Source organism: Homo sapiens, chromosome 21 (genome assembly GCF_000001405.40).
Source record: "Homo sapiens chromosome 21, GRCh38.p14 Primary Assembly".
In the NCBI taxonomy this organism is placed as follows: Eukaryota; Metazoa; Chordata; class Mammalia; order Primates; family Hominidae; genus Homo; species Homo sapiens.
In genome coordinates this window covers 6,352,207-6,377,258 of record NC_000021.9, presented here as the reverse complement: position 1 = coordinate 6,377,258, position 25,052 = coordinate 6,352,207, and the positions used below count along the sequence as shown (strand labels likewise).

The window sequence follows — 25,052 nt, the reverse complement described above, 5'->3', positions numbered from 1 at the left end:
GATCTCTGCTCACAGGAGCCATTGTGACATATCCCTGGGCCCAGAAACTATTTAACACGACTATCTTCAATGACCTTAACTTGGTGCCTGGGATAAGTTGTGACATATCTCTGGATCCAGCACCTAGGTGATGCGACTCTCCTTTTCTGCATGGGCTATGCTTACAAGAAGTAGGCTGACTTATTGCTGTGTTGACAACTGATGTGATACCTCTGTTCTTGTCTTCTTAGTTTTTAAGAATTTAAACAAGAGACACAAGGAAAAAAAGTACAGCATAATTTATTGGAAAAGAAAATATTTGAAAGTTAAGTGCAGAATACAGTACACCCTGAGAGAGATACTCCAGGGCGGACTGCTCGTAAGAGTGAGACAGCGTGGATTGTCGCTGGAGAAACCCCCTTACGGGAGTTTTACATTATTATTAATAAGAAAAGGGGAAGAGGAGTTGCTTATAAGCATGTTCTGAGTGATATTCTGGGTGCACATACGCAGTGACTATACATGCTTGTTCATATGTTGCATGTCTCGTTAGCATCTTAGATCTCCACCCAGGAGTGTATTTCTGTTTGTTTGTTTGTTTGTTTGAGACAGAGTCTCCCCATGTTGCCCAGGCTGGAGTGCAGTGGTGTGATCTCTGCTCACTGCAACCTCCACCTCCTGAGTTCAAGCCATGCTCATGCCTCTGCCTCCAGAGTATCTGGGATTACAGGCATGCACCACCATACCCTGCTAATTTTTGTATTTTTAGTTGAGACGGGATTTCACTATGTTGGCCAGTCTAGTCTCAAGCTTCTGGTTTGAAGTGATCCATCTTCCTCAGCCTCCCAAAGTGCTGGGAGTACAGGTATGAGCCACCTTGCCTGGCTAGGGCCTATATTTTTTGCTATTAAAATAAGCGAAAGTTAAGTTTGAGGACAGGTGAAATCAAAATGTACATGCTTTCTAGAACAGAAAGTCCTTAATGAGGATAACTTTGCTTGAATAAGCCCAATTACAATGCGAATGCTACGGCTTATTGTGTCGGCTGTACAGTCACCATGGTTTCTGTATCCTGAGATCATGGTCATTTTCTGTACTATCTATTCTGCCTCAATTTCCCCCTAAGAGATTTTAGGGCAATAATCATATTGGAGGTTGAGGGGTTAGGCCATTATTTCTGGAGCTGTTTCCTGCTGAGCGGGTGTTACTTCTGCCTAGCCTGGGCCTTAAAGTTTCTTCCTGTGTGATCTAACAGGGTGTAAACCATGTCGTTCGTGGAACCAGTGGGAAGATGTTGGCAACCAAAGGTTGAAAGCCTTGCAAAACCATCATGCAAACATGGAGTTGCCGTAAGCAAGAGAGCAAGAAATCAGTTAACATTTTAAACAAAATTGGAACAAAAGTAAAAGTTGAAAATATAATAATGACGGGTACTATTAAAGAGAGCAAGGCAGACAATGGACATAGCTTTCATATTCCCATGGAAGTTCCTAGAGATTCAATTTTGTCTGCCTGGGTGATGATATTATTAATATTTTCTTCGACTAAACCAGACTGATTGATCTCAAAAACAGCATTCTTCTTTTAGATATAAACATGTTCCTCTTTACCCGGCTGGGAGAAGATCCCAGGCTCCTTGGTTTTGTCGGACTACAGTGGCCATGGAGTCCAGATGTTGTTGAAGTCTATTGAGGCCCTCTGCTGCCTGTTGGGGACACACTGAGATTTTCTGAGATAGTTTATACTGGATTCCCAAGGATCCACCTTATGGTGACATTTGTGCTGCAAAGGAATTCTGCATTGAAATGGTGAAAGCAGCAAAAGTTTTAAGTCTTTTCTATTTTTTGCCAATAAGCAAAAGTTTTCTGCAGCTACGTGGTCAGCAGTCATTGGGTCCATTTATGGATGGTGAAGTTGAATGGTGGTCAAAGTTAGAGCCTGGAAGGCTTCAGTAAATGCGCTGAAGTTCTTTGGGAGCCATCAGAGCTGTTGCTTGCATTGGATTAGATCATTTATTGAGAAGAGAACAAGCACTCTGATGGTCCTCTCTCCATTTGGGACTTTCTGTAAGGGGATCAAATTCTCTGGCCCTGCATGGGGTGAAGTTCCACCGCGAGTAACTACAGCTGGGCTGGTCACTATTATACCTGGCAAAGGCTGATAGAGAGGAGCATAAGGAGGAGGTGAAACAAGCTTAGATTCTACAGAAGACTCTGATAGTGTGGGGATGCTGCGGATTCTACAGGAGGTGTAGGCCCCTGAGGGTCCCTATCTGGAGCTGGTGTTGGCCTGTTGGGTCTGGGGTCCCTTCCCATTAATAAGAGATGATCTTCTAATGCTTCTGAGGGGCTTTGTGGCTTACTAGGCTTTAGCCCACAGGTGCTGCATAGAGCTGGGTTTTGTTGTCAGGCCATAAAGGTTTGCACATAGGATATTTCAGACCATTTTCCCTGATTTCTACAGAAAAGATCTAGCTGTAGGAGGGTGTTAAAGTTCACAGTCTCATTCCCCAGCCATGTTTTGTGAGCTAATCTGTATGCAAGCTAAATAGTATTACAAAAGAAGATAAGTTTTTTCTTTTCTTTTTTTTTTTTTTGGTTCATCTAGCCAAAAGCTGTTTCAATTTTTAAATATACATCCCAGGGGTGTTTCAATGACAGTAGAGGAAGCGGCTCCCACGGTGCCGACAGAATCTTGCAACGTCAGAATATGTACTAAAGTCCAGGAGGCCATGGGCATCACAATGGGACAAGTGGAACCACCAAGGTGTCCAGCACAGCCCCGCGAGACCCCATTAACTGAAGCTCTAGGAGGTCATAGGCATGTGCCATACACCATCCTATCTCTCACCAGCGCTGCACATCTCCAGCCCTGCCGAGATGACCCCCACTGCTGGCTGGGGGGCAGATGTCTGGCTGACAAGCCTTTCCCTAATTTACTGGTTTGCAATTTATGATGCCGAATTATAACACCTGCAATGCTCAGATTCAAACCCCACGACCGGGCATCTACATGACTTTGAGTCGTTTGTTCAGCAAAGAAAACCTGTTGAAGAACAATTTCAAGGAGGTGGGAAATGCATAAAGCCTGAAGGGACAGGGTTCTCTTAATATTCCACTCAAAACAAAACAAGACAAAACTGTAAACAGAAAACCCGATCAGAAAATAAAGTACAATAGCCACTAGGTGGCGATCGAGTATTGCCGAAGGGACAGCAAACGATAAGCTGAGTCTGAAGTGTGGCCAGAAAGATGTGAAACTAAGCAGCAAACTAGCCCGAATATGAAATGTTGAGAGCAACCCATGCGGTGAGTGTCATTTATGGATAGTACAGATGCAGCAGCCAAAAGGAGAGCAGACATATATTCTCTCTCTAGAGAATATAGGTGATTTAAACACGTTTCCCCCAGAACTTTAGTGAAACAGCGCTGGAACAACCAGCGATAGTTAACCAGGTAGTCTGGAAGTGCCATAGTATTCACTGCAAGAAAAGGGAAACTGAAATTAATGAAGCAGACAAACCTCTCTCCGGGCCATGGCAAAAGAAATGTTGATGGCTGATGTAATACCTTGGTTCTTATCTTCTTAGCTTAAAAGAATTTAAACAGGAAACATGCAGCAAAAGAAGTACAGCATAGAGTAATTTATTGCACACAAAAAAGAAAAGAATACGTTGAAAATCAAGTGCAGAATAGACGGTACAGTCTGAGAAAGAGATTCCAGGGCAGCCTGCTCATAAGAGTGAGACAGCATTAATTGTTGCTGGAGAAACCCTCTTTCTGGGAGTTTTACATGATTATTCATAAGAAGGTGGAAAGAAGTGTTATAGAAGGCATGCTTTGAGTGGTCTTCTGGGTGCACATGTGCAGTAGCTGTACATATTTTTGCATATGTTTCATGTCTCATTAGCATGCAATGACATTTCACCCAGGAATGTGTTTTTACTTGTTAAAATGAGCAAAGGTTCAGCTTGAAGACAGATAAAATCAAAATGCACATGCTCTCTAGACGTAAAAGTCCCTACTGAAGATAGTGGGTTTCAAACGACCCCAAGTGCTCCACAACTTAAAAGTCGCTCCCACGAACCTGGAACACTATCTGTTCCTGAGGGATCAGGTCCCATTTGTGTCTCTGAGACACTGGCAAGTGAGGCACGACTTGGGATGAGACCGATGATTTTAATTGTAAAATGCCTAAATAGCAGCTTCAGGTTACATTTTGGAGCTTGTCCACTTAAATGGGTTGATGAAAATGGCTCACAAAACTCACGCCTTGGAAAGCGGGTTTTCTCCCTTGCTCTTAGATTTTCTGCAACCCATTAAACTAACTTCCTGATGCCTCGACTTTCACATTCGTGAAAAAGGCGCCATTGAGAGTGACGTTTCCAGGAAGGCTCAGCCCTTGTCAGCCCCTGCAGAGCTCTGAAGCTGTTCACAAGCAGGCCATGTGGAAGATTTCTCTCAAAAGCCATTGAGCACGCGCTCTGGCTAGAGAAAAAAGAGGGCTGCTGCACAATGGACAGTGTCTCAGACATCAGGACAGTTTCCACAGTAGTTTAGGAAAAAAGGCAGTGCCCTGAGCTGCAGAAGGTGCAATGCTCTGGAAGGAACCCTGGGTGCAGCTGAAAGAGGAACCTGAGAAGCATAGGGCCAATCGGGTGAGGATAACCCGCCTGATTTGGGCAAAGGTAAGGTGCCTACATAGGGTAATACCCTCCTCAATGCTCAGCCCAGACCTGTCCTCCAGGTCCACCTCTGTACTCACTCTCTGTGGCAAAGAGTCGGCATAGCATAAGAACTCAGCAATGCTTTGGACACTGGGAAGTCCACACCGCTCTGTCCCTCCCTCCAGGTCTATGCACCCCGGATCCCGGTATATGCTGAGATTATGGTTCTGAAGCCCACCGACAAATAGGCTGAGAGCAGTTAACGGACTACAGCTCCCAGCATATTAGGTGGGGCATGTACAACTTTGCCCCTTCTTCCAGGGCTATGCCTTACCCCGGAGACTGGCGCATGCTGGGATTGTAGTCCTGTAGCCATTTGACCAAAGGGCTGGGAGTGTTTATGAGAATACAACTCCCAGCAATCCTAGGGAGGAGCACACAGCCCCGCCTCTTCCCCCAGTGATACGCATTGTCCCTGAGACAGGTGCATGCTAAGATTGTAGTCCTGAAGCTCTGCGACCAAAGGGCTGGGAGTGTTTATGAGCATATATCTCCCAGCAAGCCTAGGAAGACGCACACAGCCCCGCCTCTTTTTCCACTGACGCGGACTGTCCCTGACCCCAGTGCATACTGGGATGGTAGTCCTGCATCCCTGTGATGAAAGTTCTGGGAGTCTCTATGAAACTACCTCTCCCAGGAAGCAGAAGGAGGGGTCCACAGCCTAGCCTTTTCCTCCAGTAATGCGCACTGTCCCTGAGCTGGGTGCATGCTGGGATTGTAGTCCTGCAGCCCGGTGATGAAAGGTCTGGGAGTGTTTATGAGACTACATCTCCTACCAAGCCCAGGAGGTGCACACAACCCTGCCTCTTTCTCCAGTGACGCCAACTTTCCCTGAGCCCGGTGCATGCTAGGATTGTAGCGCTGCAGCCCTGTGACAAAAGGGCTGTGAGTGTTTATGAGACTGCATCTTCCACCAAGCCCAGAGAGGCGTGCAGAGCCTCGCCCCTTCCTCCACTGATTAGCGCATGCTCCCTCAGTCCCATGCATGCTAGGATTGTAGTGCTGCAGCCCTGTGACCAAAGGGCAGCCCAGTGACCAAAGGGCTAAGAGTGTGTGAGAATACATCTCCGAAAAAGCATAGCGAGAAGAGCACAGGTCCACTTCTTCCTCCACTGAGGCGCGCTCTCCCTGAGCACGGTGCATGCTGGGATTGTAGTCCTGAAGCCCTGTGACAAAAGGGCTGGGAGAAATAATGAGACTACATCTCCCAGAAAGCCCAGCGAGACGCATGTACCCCTTTCTCTTCCTCCATTGAGGCGAACTGTCCCGGTGCCCCGTGCATGCTGGAATTGTAGTCCTACAGCTATGTGATGAAAGGGCTGGGATTGGTTATCAGAATGCATCTCCCAGCAAGCCCAGCGAGGCACGCACAGCTCCACGTCTTCCTCCAGGGACACACACACACACACACACACACACACACACACACACACACACACACACACAGTCCCTGAACTCGCTGCATGCTGGGATTGTAGTCCTGCAGCCCTGTGACCAAAGGGCCAAGAGTGTTTATGAGACTACATCTCCCAGAAAACGTAGGGAGAGGCACACAGTCCCACATCTTTTCCCAGTGACGCATACTGTTTTTGATCCTGATACATACTGGGATTGTAGTCCTGCAGCCCTATGACAAAAGGTCTGAGAGGCTTTATGAAACTACATTTCCCAAGAAGCGCAGCGAGGTGCGCAGAACCTTCCCATCCTTATCCAGTGAAGGGGAATGTCCGTGAGCCCCAAGCATGCTGGGATTGTAGTCTTATAGCACTGTGAGCCAAGGGTAGGGAGAGGACACGAGACTACATCTCCGAGAAAACCTAGGGAGACGCACACAGCCCCACATCTTTTCCCAGTGACGCATGCTGTTTTTGATCCTGATGCATTCTGGGATTGGAGTCCTGCAGTCCCGTGACAAAAGGTCTCAGAGTCTTTATGAAACTACATTTCCTAGCAAGTGCAGCGAGGTGCACACAACCTTCCCCTCATTCTCCAGTGATGTAGACTGTCCGTGAGCCCCAAGCATGCTGGGATTGTAGTCTTATAGCACCGTGACCAAAGGACAGGGAGAGGCCATGAGACTACAACTCTCAGGAAACCCAGCAAGGCGCACACTGCCCGGCCTCTTTCTCCTTAGACTAGCGCACTGTCACTGAGCTGGGTGCATACTAGGAATGTATTCCTGCAGCCCTGTGAGCAAAGAGCTGGGAGTGTTTATGAGAATACATCTCCCAGTACTCCCAGGAGGTGCACACAGCCCTGCCTCTTCCTGCAGTGACTAGCGCACTGTCCCTGAGCTGGGTGCATGCTGGGATTGCAGTCCTTGGCGATCTATGACCAAAGGGCTAGGAGTGTTAATGAGACTACATCTCCCAAAAAAGCAGAGTGAGAAGCGCACAGCCCTCCCTCTTCCTCCAGTGACGTGTGCTGTCCCTGAGCCCAGTGCATGCTGGGGCTGGAAGTGTAGTCCTTCAGCCCTGTGATGATAGGGCTGCGAGGATTTATGAGAATACATCTCCCAGCAAGCCCAGCGAGTAACAAACAACCCCGCCTCTTCCTCCAGTGACGCGCAATTTCCTTGAGCCCGGTGCTGGCTGGGAGTGTAGTCCTGCAGCCCTGTGACCAAAGGTTTGGGAGTATTTATGAGAATACATATCCCACCAAGCCCAGCGAGACGTGTACAATCCCTCCTCATCCTCCAGTAACGCGCACTATCCTTGATCTTGGTGCATACTGGGATTGTAGTTCTGCGGCCCTGTAATGAAAGGTCTGGTGACTTTATGAAACTACATCTCCCAGCAAGCCAAAGGAGGCACACAAAGCTTTGCCTCTTCATCCAGGCACACGCACTATCCCTGATCCCGGTGCATGATGGAAATGTAGTCCTTCAGCCCTGTGACCAAAGGGCTGGGAGTGTTTATGAGACCGCATCTCTCAGCAACTAAAGCAAGGCCTGCACAGCCCCGCCTTTTCCTCCAGTGACGCTCACTGTTCACTAAGGAGTGTTCATGAGATTACATTTTCCATCAAGCCCAGCGAGTTATGCACAGCTCTACCTCTTCTTCTAGCGACGCGCACTGTCCCTGATTCCGTTGTATGCTGGGATTGTGGTGCTGCAGCCCTGTGACAAAGGGGCTGGGAGTCTTTATAAGACTACATCTCCCAGCAAGCCCAAGAGGCTCTCACAGCCATGCACCACCCCCTCCCGCCCCACTTTTCCTTCAGTGACGCGCACTGTTCCCTGAACATGGTGCATACTGGAATTCTCCTGTTGCGGGATTCAGGAGGACGAGACAGACCTCAGGTTGAAACAGGAGAATCTTTATTGAGTGCACTCAGGACCAGCTGACTCACGTCAAAAAGACCGGGCCCGGAACACAGACAACACCTGACTTTTATACACACTTCACAAAAGGTGGTGGGCTAGCTTGAAGCGAGCTTACAGTGGCGTGAAAGCAGGAATACAGAGGCAGGACAAAGACAGGATTGCACATGACCGTTGCCAAGCAACCCACATGTCCATTATCTAGGTTTCCCTGGGCATGGGCTTATCCTATAACCCTCACTATGGTTCCCAAACAGCTGTAGTTCAGCCTACTCAGGCTTCTCATGACTTTCATTGTACTTCTTCGATAAAACACAATACTTGAAGTCACTAGTTACAGAGAACAAGAATCTATAAACTCATTCCATAAAACAAAGGGAATTTGTTTTTCTTTTCCCTGTGTTGGGGGAGTGTTGGGAGAACCTCCAGAGCACATTACATAATATTATCAAGAATTTTCCTGGGTCTGGGCTGTGCCTATTGCTGCCTCTGGGACAAATCAGCCTAATACAAGAAAACTTATTTCTCTTTCCTTTTAATTTCATTTTTCTTTAATTTCCTTCCTTAGTCCTGCAGCCCTGTGACCAAAGGACTGGGAGTGCACAGTTACACATCTGTTCACTTGTCATGAGACTGTTTTCCTTTAACCCCATGAACATACTTACCATAGCTTCTTTCAAATCTTACCTACCGATTACAGCATCTTGCACATCTTGAGAATAGGTTCTATTGTCTGCTTTTTATCTTGTGAATCGATTACATTTTCATCCTTCTTCACGCATCTCATAAATTTTTAAATTGTGTGATAGGAATTACAGGGACTCTGGCTTCTGTTGTATTTCTTTGAAAATTATTATTTTATGAGGGAGTTAATTTGAATAGATGCAAACCCCAATCCTTATCTCTTCTACAGTGGCAATACTAAAATCTTCATTCAGTTCTTCTAAACAGTGTGCCTTTCTATATAGCAAAATATAGTATTTTATTAAACTTTATTATAGTATATGTGAAACAGTTATTGAACAATCTACTCTACTTCATTATTACTGGAAGCCAGAACCTCAGTTGTGTTCACTTTCTGGATTTTATATAAGTGAAATTGTACAACATGTATACTTTTACATCTACTTTCTTCTATGCAACTTTATATTTATGATATTAATTCATCCTATTGCAGATAGCTATAGTTTGTTTATTTAAAAAATATTTTTTATATTGTGGCAAAGTATACATAAAATTAACCATTTTAGCTATTTTAAGTGTGCAGCTCAGAAAAATTAACTACACTCACATTGTTTTGCAACTATTATTCTCATTCATAGGGACCTTCTTTCAACTTCCAAAACCAAAATTTAATGCACATTAAATAACAGCTCCCTGTTACTCCCCCTCCAGCTCCTAGGAACCACTCTTCTACTTGGATTTCTAGAATTTAACTACTCTAAGTATCTCATAAGTGGAATGATACAGTATTTGTCCTTTTATGACTGGCTTATGTCACTTTGCACAATGTCCTTAAGGTTCATGCATAACGTACCATGTGTCAGAATTTTCTTATTTTACATAACTGAATAACGTTCCAATATATGTATAAATCACATTTTATTTATTTATTCATTGATGATAATTCAAACAACACGGGTAATTCACAAACCTTTTGGGTGATGTGAGTAATGCTGCCATGAGCCTAGGTGTACGTGTATTATTTTGTGTCTTTGCTTTCACATCTTTTGCTACATACCCAGATGTGAAATTGTGGGATCATATGGTGACTTTTGGTGTACATTTTTTAGTTATTATACTGTTATTTTATAGCAGCTGCAACATTTTACATTTCCAACAACAGTGTACAAGGGTTCTAATTGCTCCACGTCCTCACCAACACTTGTGATTTTCTGTTTTGTTTTGTTTCTTTTGGTAGTAACTATGCTGATGTGTATTAAGTGATATATCATTTGGAGTTATATTTGCATTTTACTAATGATTAGTTTTGTTGAGCACCTTTTCATGGACTTATTAGCCATTTCACATAATTTTTAAAGAAATGTCTAAGTATTTTGCCCATATTTTAAACAAGTATTTTGTTTTATTATTGCTGAATTGTTCTTTGTATATTCTGGATAGAGTCCTCTTTATTTTTCTTTTGTTTCTTGCATTTTTTGTGTCCTGTTAAAAAAAATCACTGCGAAATCCAGCGTTATGACATGTTTTACCTACATTTTATACTAAGAATTTTGTAGTTTTAGCTCTTACATTTAGGTTTTTGTCGAGTTAGTTAATTTTTTCTTATGGTATAAGTTAAGGGAACAGTTTCACTCTTTTACATGTAGGTACCCAATTTCCCCAGCACTAACTGTTGTAAAGGCAGTTCATTTCCCATAAAAATCATTTGACCATATATATGAGGGTTTATTTATATTGGCTTTCTATATTACTCCATTAGTCTATTTGTAGCATGCTATTTTGGAATTTTGTAGTAAGTTTTGAAATCATTAAGTGTGACTTCTCTAACTTTGGTATTTTTTTTTCAAAATTATTTTTGCAATTTAGGGTCCCTTGAGATTCCTCATAAACTTAAAAATTGATTTTTTAATATCTACACAAAATAATTGGCATTTTGCTTCTTGGTTACTTCCTAATTTTATTCTTTTGATGCTATTGTAAATTGAGTTGTTTTCATAATTTTCTTCTCAGATCATTCGTATTACTACATAAAATACAGTTTATTTTTCTATGTTGATTTTGTATGCTACTACTCTGCTGAATTTATTAATTTTAATATTTTTTGTGTGGAATCTTTAAGATTTTCTACATAAAAGAATATATTTTCTGTACACACTTTGATGAAGTTTATTTCATTGTCTTTTTTAATTTCTCTGAATGAAACTTCTAATACAGTGTTGAATAAAAGTGGCTGGCAAGAGCAGACATTCTGTCTTCTGAGCTTAGACGAAATAATTTTGGTCTTTTCCTCTAGAACATGTAGTTTGCTGTGGGTTTTTATACGTGAATTTTACAAAGATGGTTTTCTTTTATTCGTAATTTATTGTTTTTATTATAAAATATTTTGAATTTTGTAAAATACATTTTCTGTATTAATGAGATAATGTTTTCTAAAAATTTTGTTAATGTGTCATATGCATTGATTATTTTTCATATGCTAAAACTTTTGTTAAGAAAGGCTAGCTAAGTGAACCAGTGAGACTGGAAAAAGAATAAAGAAATCTATTCTGGTTGTGATCAATTAGTTGTAAACACCATTGCACTGAAACCAGCCATACGCTAAATCTTCCTTACATTCCAGTAATAAATTCCCCTTGGTCATGGGGTGTAATCTTGCTAGTATGCTGCTGAATGTGGTTAGCTAGGATGTTGCTGAGTAGTTTTGCATCCGTGTTCATAAGGGATATTAGTCTATGGGTTTTTGTAGTCTCTTTGGCTTTGGTATGAGCTAATGCTGGCATCATGGAATAAGTTTGGAACTGCTCTCTTCAGGCTTTTGGTAGATTTTGGAAAGGATTTTTGTTCTATAAATGCTTGATCTACATCACCAGTGAAGCCAACAAAACAAGGGCTTTTCTTCATGAGAGGTTTTTAATTACTGATTCCATTTCCTTAGTAGTTTTCTATCTATTCAGATTTTGTATTTCTTTGTAATCAAGTCTTGCATAAGTAGGAATCTGCCCACTTTATCTAGGTTTTCCAATTTATCATCCTATCATAGTTCACAGTACACTTTTTTAAACATTTTATTTCTTTGAATTAGTAGTAATGTCCCACTTTCATTACTCATTTTAGTATGTGAATATGCTGTTAATTTTTCGTGTGTGTAGCTGAAGTTTTGCCAATTGTTAATTTTTTGAAGAACTGAGAGTGAACTTTTGGTTTTTTGGAATTCTGTTGTTTGTGTAATCTCTATTGCATTTATCTCTGCTAAAATCTTCAATACTTTCTTCTTTCTCTTTGTTTTGCATCTAATTTGGTGTTATTTTTCTAATTTACTAGGTGATAAAGTTATTATTTATTTGAAATCTTTGCTCTTTTTAAATGTATCTTAGCTGCAAACTTTTCATCTTAACACTGTTTTTGCTGTTTCCCATAACTTTTGATATGTTTTGTTTTCATTTTTCTTCCTCTGTATGTTCCTACTTCTTCCGTGATTTCTTCCTTTACTTAATTTATACAATTTTGTAATTCTTTAAGTTGTAATTGTGTAGTTGTTTAATTTATACAATTTTGTAAACTTTCTAGCATTTCATCTGTTATTGATTTAATTTGAGATCTACTATACAGCCCATCCTGGAGAATTCCCCATGTGCATTTGAGAAGAGTGTGTACTCTGTTTTGTTGGATGAAGTATATTGTATATATCTGTTAGATCAATTTAGTTCATTGAGTTAGTCAAGTCCTCTATTTCCTAATTTGTCATTCATCTCATTTTTCTATTCATTACTCAGAGTGGAGTATTAACATCTTCAACTATTATTTTAGAACTGTCTATTTGTCCCTTTAATTCTGTCAACTTAGTCTTTCTATATCTAAATGTTTTATTATTAGGTATGTAAGTGTTTAAACTATTTCTATCTTCTTGCCAAATGCACGTTCTATGATTATATAATGTCTTATTGTCTCTTGTAACTTTTTAAGTCTATTTTGTCTGCTATTAATATAGTCATCCCCAGTCTCTTTTTCCTACTATTGGTATAAAATAATTATTTTCTTCCCTTTTTTATAACCCTGAATTGCTGTGGAAAGCTAACAGTAGCATTACTTAATTTAAAAAGCACAGAAATCTTAAATCAATAGCTTAATGTTTGTAAAAGCATTTAAATGGAAATAAGCTACCAGTTCACCAGGAACAAAGGATATCAGTTGGGTCTAAGAATAATCATGCCAAAAAGCTCTAGGAGGAAAAGCTCCTGGGAATTAGGACTGTGATAATGGTCTTTGAGATCAACAAAGAAATGGGGAAATGGGGATGCTCAGGGTCAGGTACATGCTTAGCAAAAGACCCAGAAAACCCTAAGCTGTCACCTGTGTACTTTAAACTCTGCACAAGTAGAAAATAGAGGCACAAGGAGAGTTGTAACTTTATGCTGATTAGTAAAGGCATGCTCCAACACACATACATAGATCCCAGGTGAAAAAAAATCAGATATTTATTTTTAGTGAAGGTTAAAAAATCTGGAGTCTTACTTTCCAATTAAGGATTAGTGAAAATATTTGGGGAGATTTGCATTGATCAGTTCATCCTGAGGTCAAGAAAATCTTGATTTTAAAATTTGGAGCCTCCAGTAAAGGATTAGCTTCCACCTAGAGGTGTTCTTTGGCCTTTTGGACTCAGTGACACACTACTGGTTACACTGATTTGAAAGTCAGCAAAGAGCTTGCTACAGAACTCCTGACAAACTAAGTTTGACCTATAGAGGGCTAGGGCATCCCCAGCTGGTTGAAATTTTGTGCCTCCTTCTATCCTCTGAAGCAAAGCTGCTGTCTCTGTGGGGCCCCCAATTTACTGAGTGTTTCCTATATGACTGGTCCTGGTTCATAGATGAGTCAGGGAAGGTGAAACCTCATGATGTCCACTGGGCCGCTGTGGCTGTTTAACCTGTGCCAGCCATACAGAACCTGACATGAGTGGTTGCTCCTCTCAAAGGTCAGAACTCAGGGTTTGGGATAATGGCACATATTCTATCTGTTTGGTTATCTACAATGGAAAGTGTAGACTGTCTGAATATCTTTTGGGCTGCAAACCGGAAACAACCCCAGATGCTGATCTAACTGGGTCACTCATCTAGAAGTCCATGGTAAGTGTTTTCCAGAGAGTGACCACAATCAAGCTGCAGATTGAACCTAAATCTGTGTCCAACCCAGAGTCTAATACTGCAAACCAGACTTGGGGTTGCTGGTGAAAGTTGACCTATCTGTCTCATGGTTGAAGAATTCCTAGACCATACCTAGCAGAGTAACCAGAAGTGGACTTTTAGCCCACTTCTTGAGATATCAGTCACCACTGTTGACTTCTTCAGCATAACAGTCATCTGACTCCAGCCATACCATGTGTCCCTTGAAGCTAATCTGTGCCACCTTTTAGGCTTTTGAGGTCAATTGAGCTCTGACTTCGTGGCATTTTTCACCACATCGACTAAAATGGGCCAACTCTACGATGTTCCCTCCTTTTCCACACATGTTGGTTAGATAATTCGTTGATTAGGTATGCTTTTCTCTGAAAGGGGATTATCTCTTCCAGATTGCCTCCAAGATAAGGATGAAATGTTTGGGGGATCTAGGAATCTATTTCACAAATTTGGAATTTCGTGCTAATAATTCCTGGGTGAAATGTCTTTCTTTCCCATACCTGCAATTCTAGACCAGCCTGGCTTTTGTATCCTCTGAGTTGCATCCCAGCCTAGCAGCAGTTATGGGACTCCAACTTAGTTCTGGTTAAGTTTTATGTAAATATTCTTGTATCTGTTTTACCTGGCTCTACTACACAAAATGTCTAGAAAAAAGTAAAGGGCGACTAGAATAAAGGTGAGATTATAGATATCGGAATGAGACACACTGATTCTGTAGAGATAGAGGGAGAACAACAACCTGGAACGTGGGAAATGAACAACTTAGACCTCGGAAGCTACGGGGAATGGTGGGACATTAACAACTTTTTTTCTTTCTGAATAACCCCTGGTGCAGCCCACAAAAGAGTCTGGAAATACTATTAGAACAGACGGTAAGACAGAGGCTGTGGATTCAGCTCCTTTTGGTCTCCACGTTACTCTTAAGAATCCTTTGAGACTATTCTATCTCTCTGTGATGTAGGCATGGAACTCTAGTGGGCAGTGTGCACTCTCGGTGCCCATGGTTCAACGCCACAGTTTTTCAGATGATGGACAACCATTGCTTTTTCCTGAAGAGACTTAGTACCCTGTGGCTGAGCTTAAGCGGGACTCTAGGAATTACTGATTGCATTTTCTTCTTCTTCTGTGAACTGCGATTTCTCCTTCTGTTTTTCTACTACCTAGAGATTAATCTGTATTTGTCAATATTTAGGTAAATCAGAGACATAAAGCAGATAAGGAACCCTAGACACAGCTTCTAGCATAGCTGGACTCTTGCCTGTTTCTCTTCCCACTTTATGAGATCAATTATATTGGCACAGAGAGATAGCCTTAGATGGGTCTCTCAGGATCAATTAGAGAAGCATACTTCTAGAGAAGCTGGTAGAACAGGGCAGGAGGGCCAGTGAGGATCAAAGCTTCTATCCAAATGTTTTAGCCTAGCTGTGTGTGGCAGACGAATCCAGGAAAGCTCCCAGATCCCTGGAAGGGATTATTAAGAGAGGATCCATTAGATTAGAATGCTAGGTTGGGTGTTCATCTATCACCTTCTGAGTCAGATTTCCAGGGTTAAGTCTGTGGTAGGGCTGCAGAGAAATGCTCGCCTGGGAAAGCCTCTGATCAAGTGCAACATAGGTGACTCCCGCACAGGGAGAAGTCCTCTATTTGAGGAACATCATATGTGTTTGGATGTATCTGTGCTCTTCCTCAGCAGAGGACCATTGACTGAATGACTGTTTGACAATTACGCATAAAGAGCCCTATATTATTTTGAATTTAGTAAATATTGGAACAGAAACAAACAATATTATCTACTTTCAAATTGAATAACAGCATGAGCAACTTCCAGGTAAATGTCACAGGAGGAAACTCTGGGGCCTTGCTCATCACCAGAAACCTTGAAAATCCTGATGCAACCTGTAGGGTTAACCTTATCAACACTTAGTTTTTTACCATATAGATTTATCTTCATAAAAAATATTTTCTTTGGACCTTTATTTTGTTATATGCCATGAAGAATAAATCATTTATTTCCTTTGCGATAAGAACATCACATTTTTACACCTCAAGTATTAATGATGCCATCCCCCATGTAGTTTTTGTTGCGATGGCCTGAATGTTTATGTCCCTTTGCAAATTCCTATGTGGATAATTTTAGGCGTGTGGCCTTTGGGGAAGTGGTGAGGCCAAGAGTTCTTCATCTTCATGAATGGAATCAGTGCTCTTTCAAGGGAAGTTGAAGGCAATGCCCTTGTCCCGTGTGCAAGATGGTACCATCTATGGGGAACAGGGCTCTCAACATATACTAAATTTTCTGCTGCCTTGATCTTGCACTTTCCAGACTCCATAACTGTGAAAAATACATTTCTGTTGTTTATCCTTTACCCAGTCTGAGGTATTTTGTTATAGCAGCCTGGATGAACTATGACACTTTCTTAGGCACTTTGGTCTATTTCTGAATTTTTAGTTTCAGTGACATATGAGTTTTTAATCAATCAAGATTTTTCACAGAGCTTGCCAGTCTTGTTTTTTGCTTTTTTTTCAGAGTTTTCTTGTCTATTCTTATGTGTGTTTTCATCTATATAATATTTTATAGTAACGTGTACTTCCAATATTTAATGGTATCTGTATAGGAACAAAATTGAATTTATAAATAAACTTAAGGACAATTGATGTTGATAATATTGAGATTTGCTGCCTAAGAATATGATACAAATTGTCTATTTGCTTATGTCTACATTCATATATTTCATAAACTTTCTATGTTTTTCTCATATTCTGTACACATTTTTGTAATGTTTATTCCTAGTTTATTTTATTCTGCTAAAAAGTAATTTGAGACACAATGAAATTGCCAAGTGTCTATTTGAGTAAGAGCAATTGATAAATTATAAAATATCAGACCAAAAGTTATTTAGTGCTTCTCTGACAGAGTAAGAAGCAAGTATTTATTGAAAAAATGTAGAAACAAAAAAATCATTTGATTGGTGGTAGCACAACTTTTTTATTGTTTTTTGTTCGTCTGTTTATCTTGTTGGACAGTTTCTATTTATATAAGGATGTTGGCTACTCCTGATTGGTTGAGCTTCATTTCTCTTTTTTAAATAGGCAGCTACAAGAAATATTTAAGTTTTGCTTGTATTTGCAAATCAAGCAAGGTTGAGATCACTTATGAGACCTAACTAATTTCGTCTGCTCAGAGATTATTGAGACGTGATCTCCATTTTAATTTATTTTAACAAATTTTCTGTACTTTTAATTCCCATCCAAACTGTAACTTATAAATTATTATTGTTGTACATATATAGGCCCATGTTGTGTATGCTTTGAAGACATGTCCTGCTTTCAAACTCATTTGTATTATGTTATTATTGAATTTGCCCCATTTATTGGAATTATATACTGCAATCTCCCAACTACAAGAGGTATGAGTTCTGAGGAGATCACAGTAAAGATGAGTCAGAAGTGAAAACGGTTCTCCAACTCACACATGCAGTAAAAACAAATTTCACGTGGATATAATGAGTAATTATTTAAAATTTAAAATACCCTGAAAACATTAACGTTTATCTCATTACTATGTAATATGGAAATTACAAGACAAAAAAACCCAAAGACTTATTTTTAAAATAGAAATGGAGCTTTTTATATGATGAAATGGTCCATAATTTAAATGTAAAAAGTGAATAGGAAATACATGAAATAAAATAAAATTATTTGTAAAAGTGACAATGCCCGTATTAGATTTAACAATATCTTACAATGAAATAAGTTGAAACCTACAAAATAGAAGAAAGTTTAAAATTAGGCAAATATTATGAGCCAGGTGAAGAATAAATACATATATCAATAAGCATTTAATGTATTTTGTCTTAGATTTTATATGAAATAATAAAAAGTAAGCAAACCAATAGCAAGGTAATTTCACCCTGATTGATTCAAACTGAAAAAATATTAACATTTCTCCATTGGAAGTTGGATTCATGGATTGGCCTCATGCTGCATTCAAGGCACTTTAGCCAGGACCCAACACTCATTGCCAAGAGTCATCAGGCTAGAAGTTTGCTTTTAAGATGTTCCCCGGCCTGCGACCAAGACACTTTGTCTTGACTACTTCTTCAACTCTGACATAGGTTTTGCTGATATAAATGAAAACCCAGCTCTATACCTACCAAGCATCTACATGGCTAGAGCTGCACATTGAATATTTAGGCACTAGGCAAGAGGTCTTCCCAGGTTTCCAAGCAGACTTTCTAGAATTTCCCAAAAATACTGACATTGTCTTTTTCAGACCCAATCTCCCAAAGAGAATCAGAGAGATGGTCTGGAAGCCATTTAGAATCTCCAGCCTCCAATTTAGTAACAATGGACTTGGATACAAAGAGGCAACCTACTGACCTCAAAGACACCAGCCCAGATTCTGGGCATTGAATTCCTGCCTCCCCATGAAAGATCTCATCTGAGTCACATCAAAGCCCACACTCTTCTTCAACGTTCACCTTCCAGACACGCTCCAAAACAGCCCCTCAGAATTGTCTTGAGATGAAACAAAAGGTGATGAAGCTCCAGGTTTGGAATGCCTGCCTCATTCCTCACTCCTGAAAAGTCTACACCTGCTGGTTAGAACTCTCATACCTTAGGGAGCCCGGGCTCTCAGAGTGCATCCTCTAACAGGACCTCCTGGCCTTTTCCTCCTTGGAGGAGAGTGCCCAAGAATAAGAGGGAATACATGGCCTCCACTCTCACTTGACTTGATTGACTGATTAACTGATGTCTGAGGAGGAAACATATGTAGGGAACAGCCTGGGTCTTTTGAATCCCTGTTCCCCAGCTATGATGCCTGTGCAAATGGAGGGAGAATCCCAAAGTATTGTTGGGAGGTAGACAGACACTGGCTAACACAATTAAGTAAATATAAGGTGACTTGAAGGGAAATTTATCATATGTCATATACAAAATTTTAGTTAGTGAACTTTATTTAAAAACAGTCACAATTTGTAAGGGGAGTAAAGTATAATTTTAATGGGGAACTATGAAAATTATCTGCACTTGCTATGTAAATGATTGAGTTAGGGGTAACAATCTGAAGGTCATGAGCTTGATATCTGCTACTTAATTTCATAAGACATTTACTTGCAAATGGTTGTCATTTTTGCTCTCACCATATGAAAATTTTTTCTTGCTAAGAGCATTCCTATGAAAGAAAAACTAGAAATTTTGCCAATTTCGGTTATTAAAACAATAAAACTGGTTTGTTTGTTATTCTTAACCAAATGCTCCTACAGATGGCACATAGTACCCATGCTTTGATTGTTTTTTTCCCACCTTAAGTCAATTGCCTTTCATTTTATTCATCAAACTGTTTTTACTGTAGATAGACATTGCAGTTGTCATGTGCCCTATGGATTTGTACTTTATTAGAAATATGAATTCTCAGGCCGAGTATATTGGCTCACGCCTGTAATCCCAGCACTTTGCGAGGTGGAAGAGAGTGGATCACCTGAGGTCAGGAGTTCAAGAACAGCCTGACCAACATGGTAAAACCCCATCTCTCTACTATTTACAGTTCGCATTGTACCTTGCAATGAATATACATTTTATCCAAAAAGCCTAAAAAATAATGAAATTGGGGGTGGGGGCATGGCTGGAAGTATAGATAAAACAAAAATGACACATGACTAGCAGCTGTTAAAGCTGGGTGACTGGTCTGTTATACTTTTTTTGTATTGTGTATGTTTTTAGTGATCTGTAATAAAACACTTGTACAAAATGACAAAGTTTATCTACACTTAGCTCTTAAGGTCTTGGTTACCTTTGGGAAGGGGAAAGTGTCAGGGGCATGAACAAATCTGATTCTTAGATACACAAGTGTATTTATTTAGTAATAATTCATCAAACATTCCCTAAATGCTTTGTGCCTATATTGCTGTATGCATGTTATTTATCAATAAAAATGTAAAGAGTGCATGTTTGCATAACAATCCTAAATTAATATTTTAGAATAATAGCAATGTTTTGTTTTGTTTTCAAGTGGGGCGTGTTCACTCAGGACATCATCAGGTGTATGTTAATGTTCCAAGTTATTTATTTATGTTTTAACTTTTGGGTGAGCCCCCCTGGGTCTTTTAATTTTTACTTCAACACAGTAAGTAGCATGGTTTTAACTTTTTGGAATGCAGCTTTGTTTTCATCAAGGTTCTCCCCGAAGAATGATGCTCACCCAGGCCAGGGCACACAGTGACCCGTGCACAGGATGCACTGAGCACACACGGCACTGGGTGAACCAGGAACAGAAGGAGAAGCCAGCCTGGGTCTGCAAAATATACTTTGCAGGAAAAGCAGGTAAAATGGAAAGGTCACAATTCAGCAGCAAACGTTTTCACATTCATTGGAGAAATCATTTCTAACAAAAGCTGCTCGTTAAAGCCATGGTTTTCTGGCTTGCCTACACATTGTAATCACCTGCACGACTTTCAACCATATTTTTTTCAGATCCAGCTCCAAGGATTCTGATTTAGTTGTGCGGTTACAACTTGGGTTTAAGGGATTTTGAAAGTTTTCCTCCCCGCAGGTGATTCTCTTGCGCCAGGGGTAAGAAGCGCTGGATAGGGGTGAGGGATGCTTTAGCTGTGAGAGATAGCCATGTACGCTTCAGGATTTGCCCCATCGCATATCTGGAGTTCGGGGTCTTAGAAAGCTTTCTTGCCCTGTTAAAAATTAAAGGATGGCTTCAATACATACTTAGCTGCTTGGCTACATTGCAGAAAAACAAATTGCCTTTCCAGAGATCAGTTTTTTGAGACAGGGTTTTGCTCTGTCAGCCAGGCTGGAGTGCAGTTGTGTGATCATGGTTCATTGCAGCCTTGACCTCCCAGGCTCAGGTGATCCTCCAGCTCCAGCCTTCTGAGTAGCTGGGACTGAAGTCATGCACCACCAGGCCTGGCTAATTTTTCAAATTTTTTTTTTTTTTTTTTTTTTTTTTTTTTTTGTAGAGATGGCTTTCTCTATGCTGCCTGGGCTGGTCTCAAACTCCTGGTCTCAAGTGATCCTCCCACCTCAGTCTCCCTAATAGTTCGACCTACAGGCACAGGGAAGCATGCCCGGTATATTTATTAAAATGTAGTTACCAGAATATTTAAAATTCACTTGTGCCTCTCATATTATTTCTTAGAGAATTGCCTCCCTTTTGAAATCTCAGGCTGCCTGCTCTAAAACCTGGATGTGCCAGGAAAGTAAAACATCTGAAATTTTAAAACAATTGTCATTATATTGATTCCATATATGAATAACACATATATATTATTCATTAATACAAATAATCTTACATACAAATGTAAATGCAAATATTTTACAGGCAGGGCCAGTTTCTAGTTCACAGAGGAAGCCCTGCCAGAAAAGGATCCAGGAAAAACCTATAATTCTTGCTTTATTCAACCCAGTGTCAAATCACATATGTCACTCATGGTCTGAGGCGGCAGGGTAGGGAATTGAACTACATCCAATCATGGGTCTTGGAGTGGAAACTATCTAATCAGGTGCACAGCTGGAGAAGAATGGGCAGCTTTTTGGAAGTACGGAGGCCTTGGCCTGTCTCTCCACTCAGAGCTCAGGACACTAGAGCCACCTCAACATAATCACCTGTTTTTTAGTTATTTTAACACTCCAAAAGGGAACTAGTTTTCTCATGCATTTTCCAAATGTGTGGCAGGCAGAGACTCAAATCTAACTCCCTGTTGCCCCAGCCTAACTCTGGCTTGCAATCAGATTTTAAATTTCCAGTTCTTTCCTGACACTCACCAACACTAACTAACCTTCCATAATTCACAACATTATCAACTGTTCTTTATTGTACATTTCAGACACAGTATTTCAATTCTTCTTTTTGTCAAAAAGCAGTGGATGTCATTTAAAAAAATTTTTTCTCATTTGTAAACATTTTACAGGAGATGAAAGCAGAGAATAATCCCCTGACACCCCACTGTAAAAAAAATAAATAAAAAGCGGAAAACCTTTGTGCCCCTTTGTTTAAACTTCTCTTGGCACAGACACCCCATCAGAAAGCCTTTGGGTTCAGGTTTCATTTTGGAAACTTCACAGGGCAATACATCCTCAGCCATCCTGTTATTTTCTTGGTTTTGAATTTCAAAACTGTTTGAGGATTCCCCAAGATGCCAACAGTGGCCATGACTCTTGAAGTGTCTAGTAAATAGCATCCCTTGTGTCATCTCCTCTCAGGGAACAGCCCAAGGTATGGGAATGCAGCCTCTCTGTGGAGTGGTTGTTTGAGATGTGCCTGGAAGGAATCTCTAGGTATACCCTTGCGCTAAAAGCAAACCCATTAGGTCATTAAGATTTTCTTACCCCAAAGCTTAGTTTCCATTCCTTAGAGACACATTGCAGGCCAGGCAAATGGATGCTGATATTGAGGAAAAAATGTTCTCAGATTGGTGAAGGGAGAGAAAATATTTCAAAGGACAAAGAAACCCAACCTAGTGAGGCAGTGCAAAAACCTGCAAAGTAAAATGCACCTCAGGGACACAGAGGAGCACAGGGTAGCGACTCCTGGTAGGATGGTCATGACCCACTTCACTGAACCAGATGTGAGTGGGGAAAATATCCCAAGTAATAGAATGGCTTGACTTGACCCTTGGGTCTGATATGTCTGTGTTTCAATCGGCACTGTCACCTTCTAATTTTGTCACCTTGAAAATGTTTTTGTACTTACTTTAACTTCACTTTTTAATTAACTGTAAACTATGTTTTATCAGTAGAGCTTGAAAGGCATGAAAATATTTATAAAGCACATTAAGTTGGTGAATTTTGAATAAAATTAAGTAGTAATATATTTCACTTGTTAAAAATTGTTACTTGCCTATTTCTTTAGCAGAATGAGTGTCGTACATTTCCCAGGACTGTTTTTTATTTGTCTGAGAGGTGATTTCAAGCAGAATCTCACGACTTACTGTTGGGAATGTTACCAGGTGTATTGATAGGGATAGTCTCTCTTCCACTACGGTGGTACGAAATGAATACATACCTACAAGCACGTGAGGTAGATTAATTGTTAAATTACATAAATTTATCACATCAGTTATTCTTTTTTCAAAACAGAGAACTTCTGATAGTGAGTATCTCTGTTCCATATGCTGTCATCTGGGTGTTTGAGGGTAACGCTAAGTTTTAGGAGCTGGGACTTGGCACCGCCTGGAAGTGTTCACATATGATTGTTTACTAAATGATTTGTTATGAACATAATTAAATTACATGTTTATTTTCTGAAAGGGATAGATACTTTGGCTTTTCTTGTTGAGTTATAAAATGTAAGCCCCTTATAACTTTCTTTTTTAATTTTAATTTTATTTTTTAGACTTAGTGTCACTCTTGTTGCCCAGTCTGGAGTGCAATGGCACGATATTGGCTCACTGTAACCTCCACCTCCCGGGTTCAAGCAATTCTCCTGCCTCGGCCTCCCAAGTAACTGGGATTACAGGAATACACGACCACCCCCGTTTAAGTTTGTATTTTTAGTAGAGACTGTGTTTCTTCATGTTAGTGAGGCTGGTCTCGAACTCCTGACCTCAGGTAATCTGCCCGCCTCAGCCTCCCAAAATGCAGGGATTACAGGCATGAGCCACCATGCCCGACCATAATTTCCTCTCTTTTAAACCTTAGATTTGAATGATTTTTGCTGGATTCTTCAAACATGAAGTATTTTTTAAATTGAAAACTAATTGAATGACTTTAACTGGTAAGTAGAAGTCTTAGACCGTTGACTAAAAGCTAAGGCTAACGTTGACCCTGCAAAAGGGGGCCACTGAAGGCCCAGTTGATTATTCCTGGGTGTCTGCCCTGCAGACATCAAAGTCTGCTCACACCAACCATAGAAGGAGCCTTTGTCACTGTCAGAAGATACAGAGCTTTGGTAAGCTGGAAGTTGACAGGCAGATGCAGTTGGGGTTGAGATTGAAGAAAAGTTGGGATATTCTTTCTAGAATGGAGTTGTTATTGTCCTGAGACTGTTTATAGACTTTGTCTAAGAAGTTACTTAAGAAGTGTTGTAACAAGGAAAAAGTACAAATGATTAGATCTTTGAGGATCTCAAAGGTTAGGTGGAAAAGGGTTTTATTTCATAGGGAGGAGAAAATAAGTTTACAAAGAAGGTTGGAAAGGAAGCACAGGATGGAGGGTAGCAAAATCAGATCCCAGATAAGATAATGTTTCATCTTGAAGTCAGCCTGTTCTTAGGAGGGATATGTATAAATATGGGTTGTAGGTTCTCTGAGGCTGTGGGTGAGTCAAAGTTCAGGGGCTGAGGGAAGAAGGGGAACAAGCAAAGTTTTGTTAACAAGTACTCTGTTTTGACCACTGAAGACTAAATTACAGAATGGTTGTTCATTTTTAAAAATAGGAATTTGTAATCTGTGTCCGTCTTTGTGATAGGTTAAAAAAAAGGGGGGGGGGGAACATCCACAAAGTCATAATGGGAAGCACGTTTCTCTTCACTAAGCTGTTCTTTGAGAACACAAAGAATGGGGGAATTTCTTTAAATATAGCTATTTCCAGGATTACCTTCACCCACAACTGTTCCTTTTCCTAGACATCTCTTTCATTTGTCAGTTTCTGAGTTGTATTTTTATAATAAAGTGGTAAATATAATTAGACTTATTTGTTGAGTTTTTTTGAGTAACTCTATCAAATTATTTAACTTGAAAAGGGGTTTATGGGAGTCTCAGATTTATAGGCAGTAGCTCAGAAGTATAGATGGGCTTATGGGACATGTGACTAACCTCTGCAGTGAGAGGGGTGATGTGGGACTTAGCCCTGAATTTGTGGGATCTGTGCGAACTCTAAGTTGTGTCAGAATTAAATTTTGGGGCAAGAAATGGGTGTTGAAGAAGCAGTGGGTTTTCAGGGAACTTTACACATTTAGGATCAAAAGTGTTGTAAGGAGAAAGACAATGTGGGGGCCTTTGCTGGAGAGAGACTCCAGGTGTCTCGGGGAAGGTAGGCTCTGCTCTGCACACAGGCTGCTACGCCATGCACTGCCCTGTGGTTCCAGGCATCCTCCCATGGTAAGAAGGACCGACGACTCTGAGGGAAGAAGTTCTGAGAACAGATGCCTTCTACCCTCCTGCCAACTTGAAGCCACCACATGTTTTTCACCCACTGAACATACACACTGCATGTT

General features: G+C 40.6%; 2 long non-coding RNA genes across 3 annotated transcripts in view; one reads left to right on the top strand and one right to left on the bottom strand.

Annotated features, from left to right (window-relative positions):
• The window catches only part of LOC102724701 (uncharacterized), a 441,766-nt gene that overhangs the window by 293,473 nt on the left and 123,241 nt on the right, over positions 1-25,052 (top strand). The gene's annotated exons all lie outside the window — the stretch shown is intronic.
• CH507-145C22.1 (uncharacterized) lies at positions 16,630-23,262 on the bottom strand. Its single transcript, XR_005647076.2, has 2 exons — positions 22,737-23,262; positions 16,630-20,571 (listed from the first exon to the last, which is right to left on the bottom strand). It is a non-coding gene; the product is annotated as an uncharacterized CH507-145C22.1 (long non-coding RNA).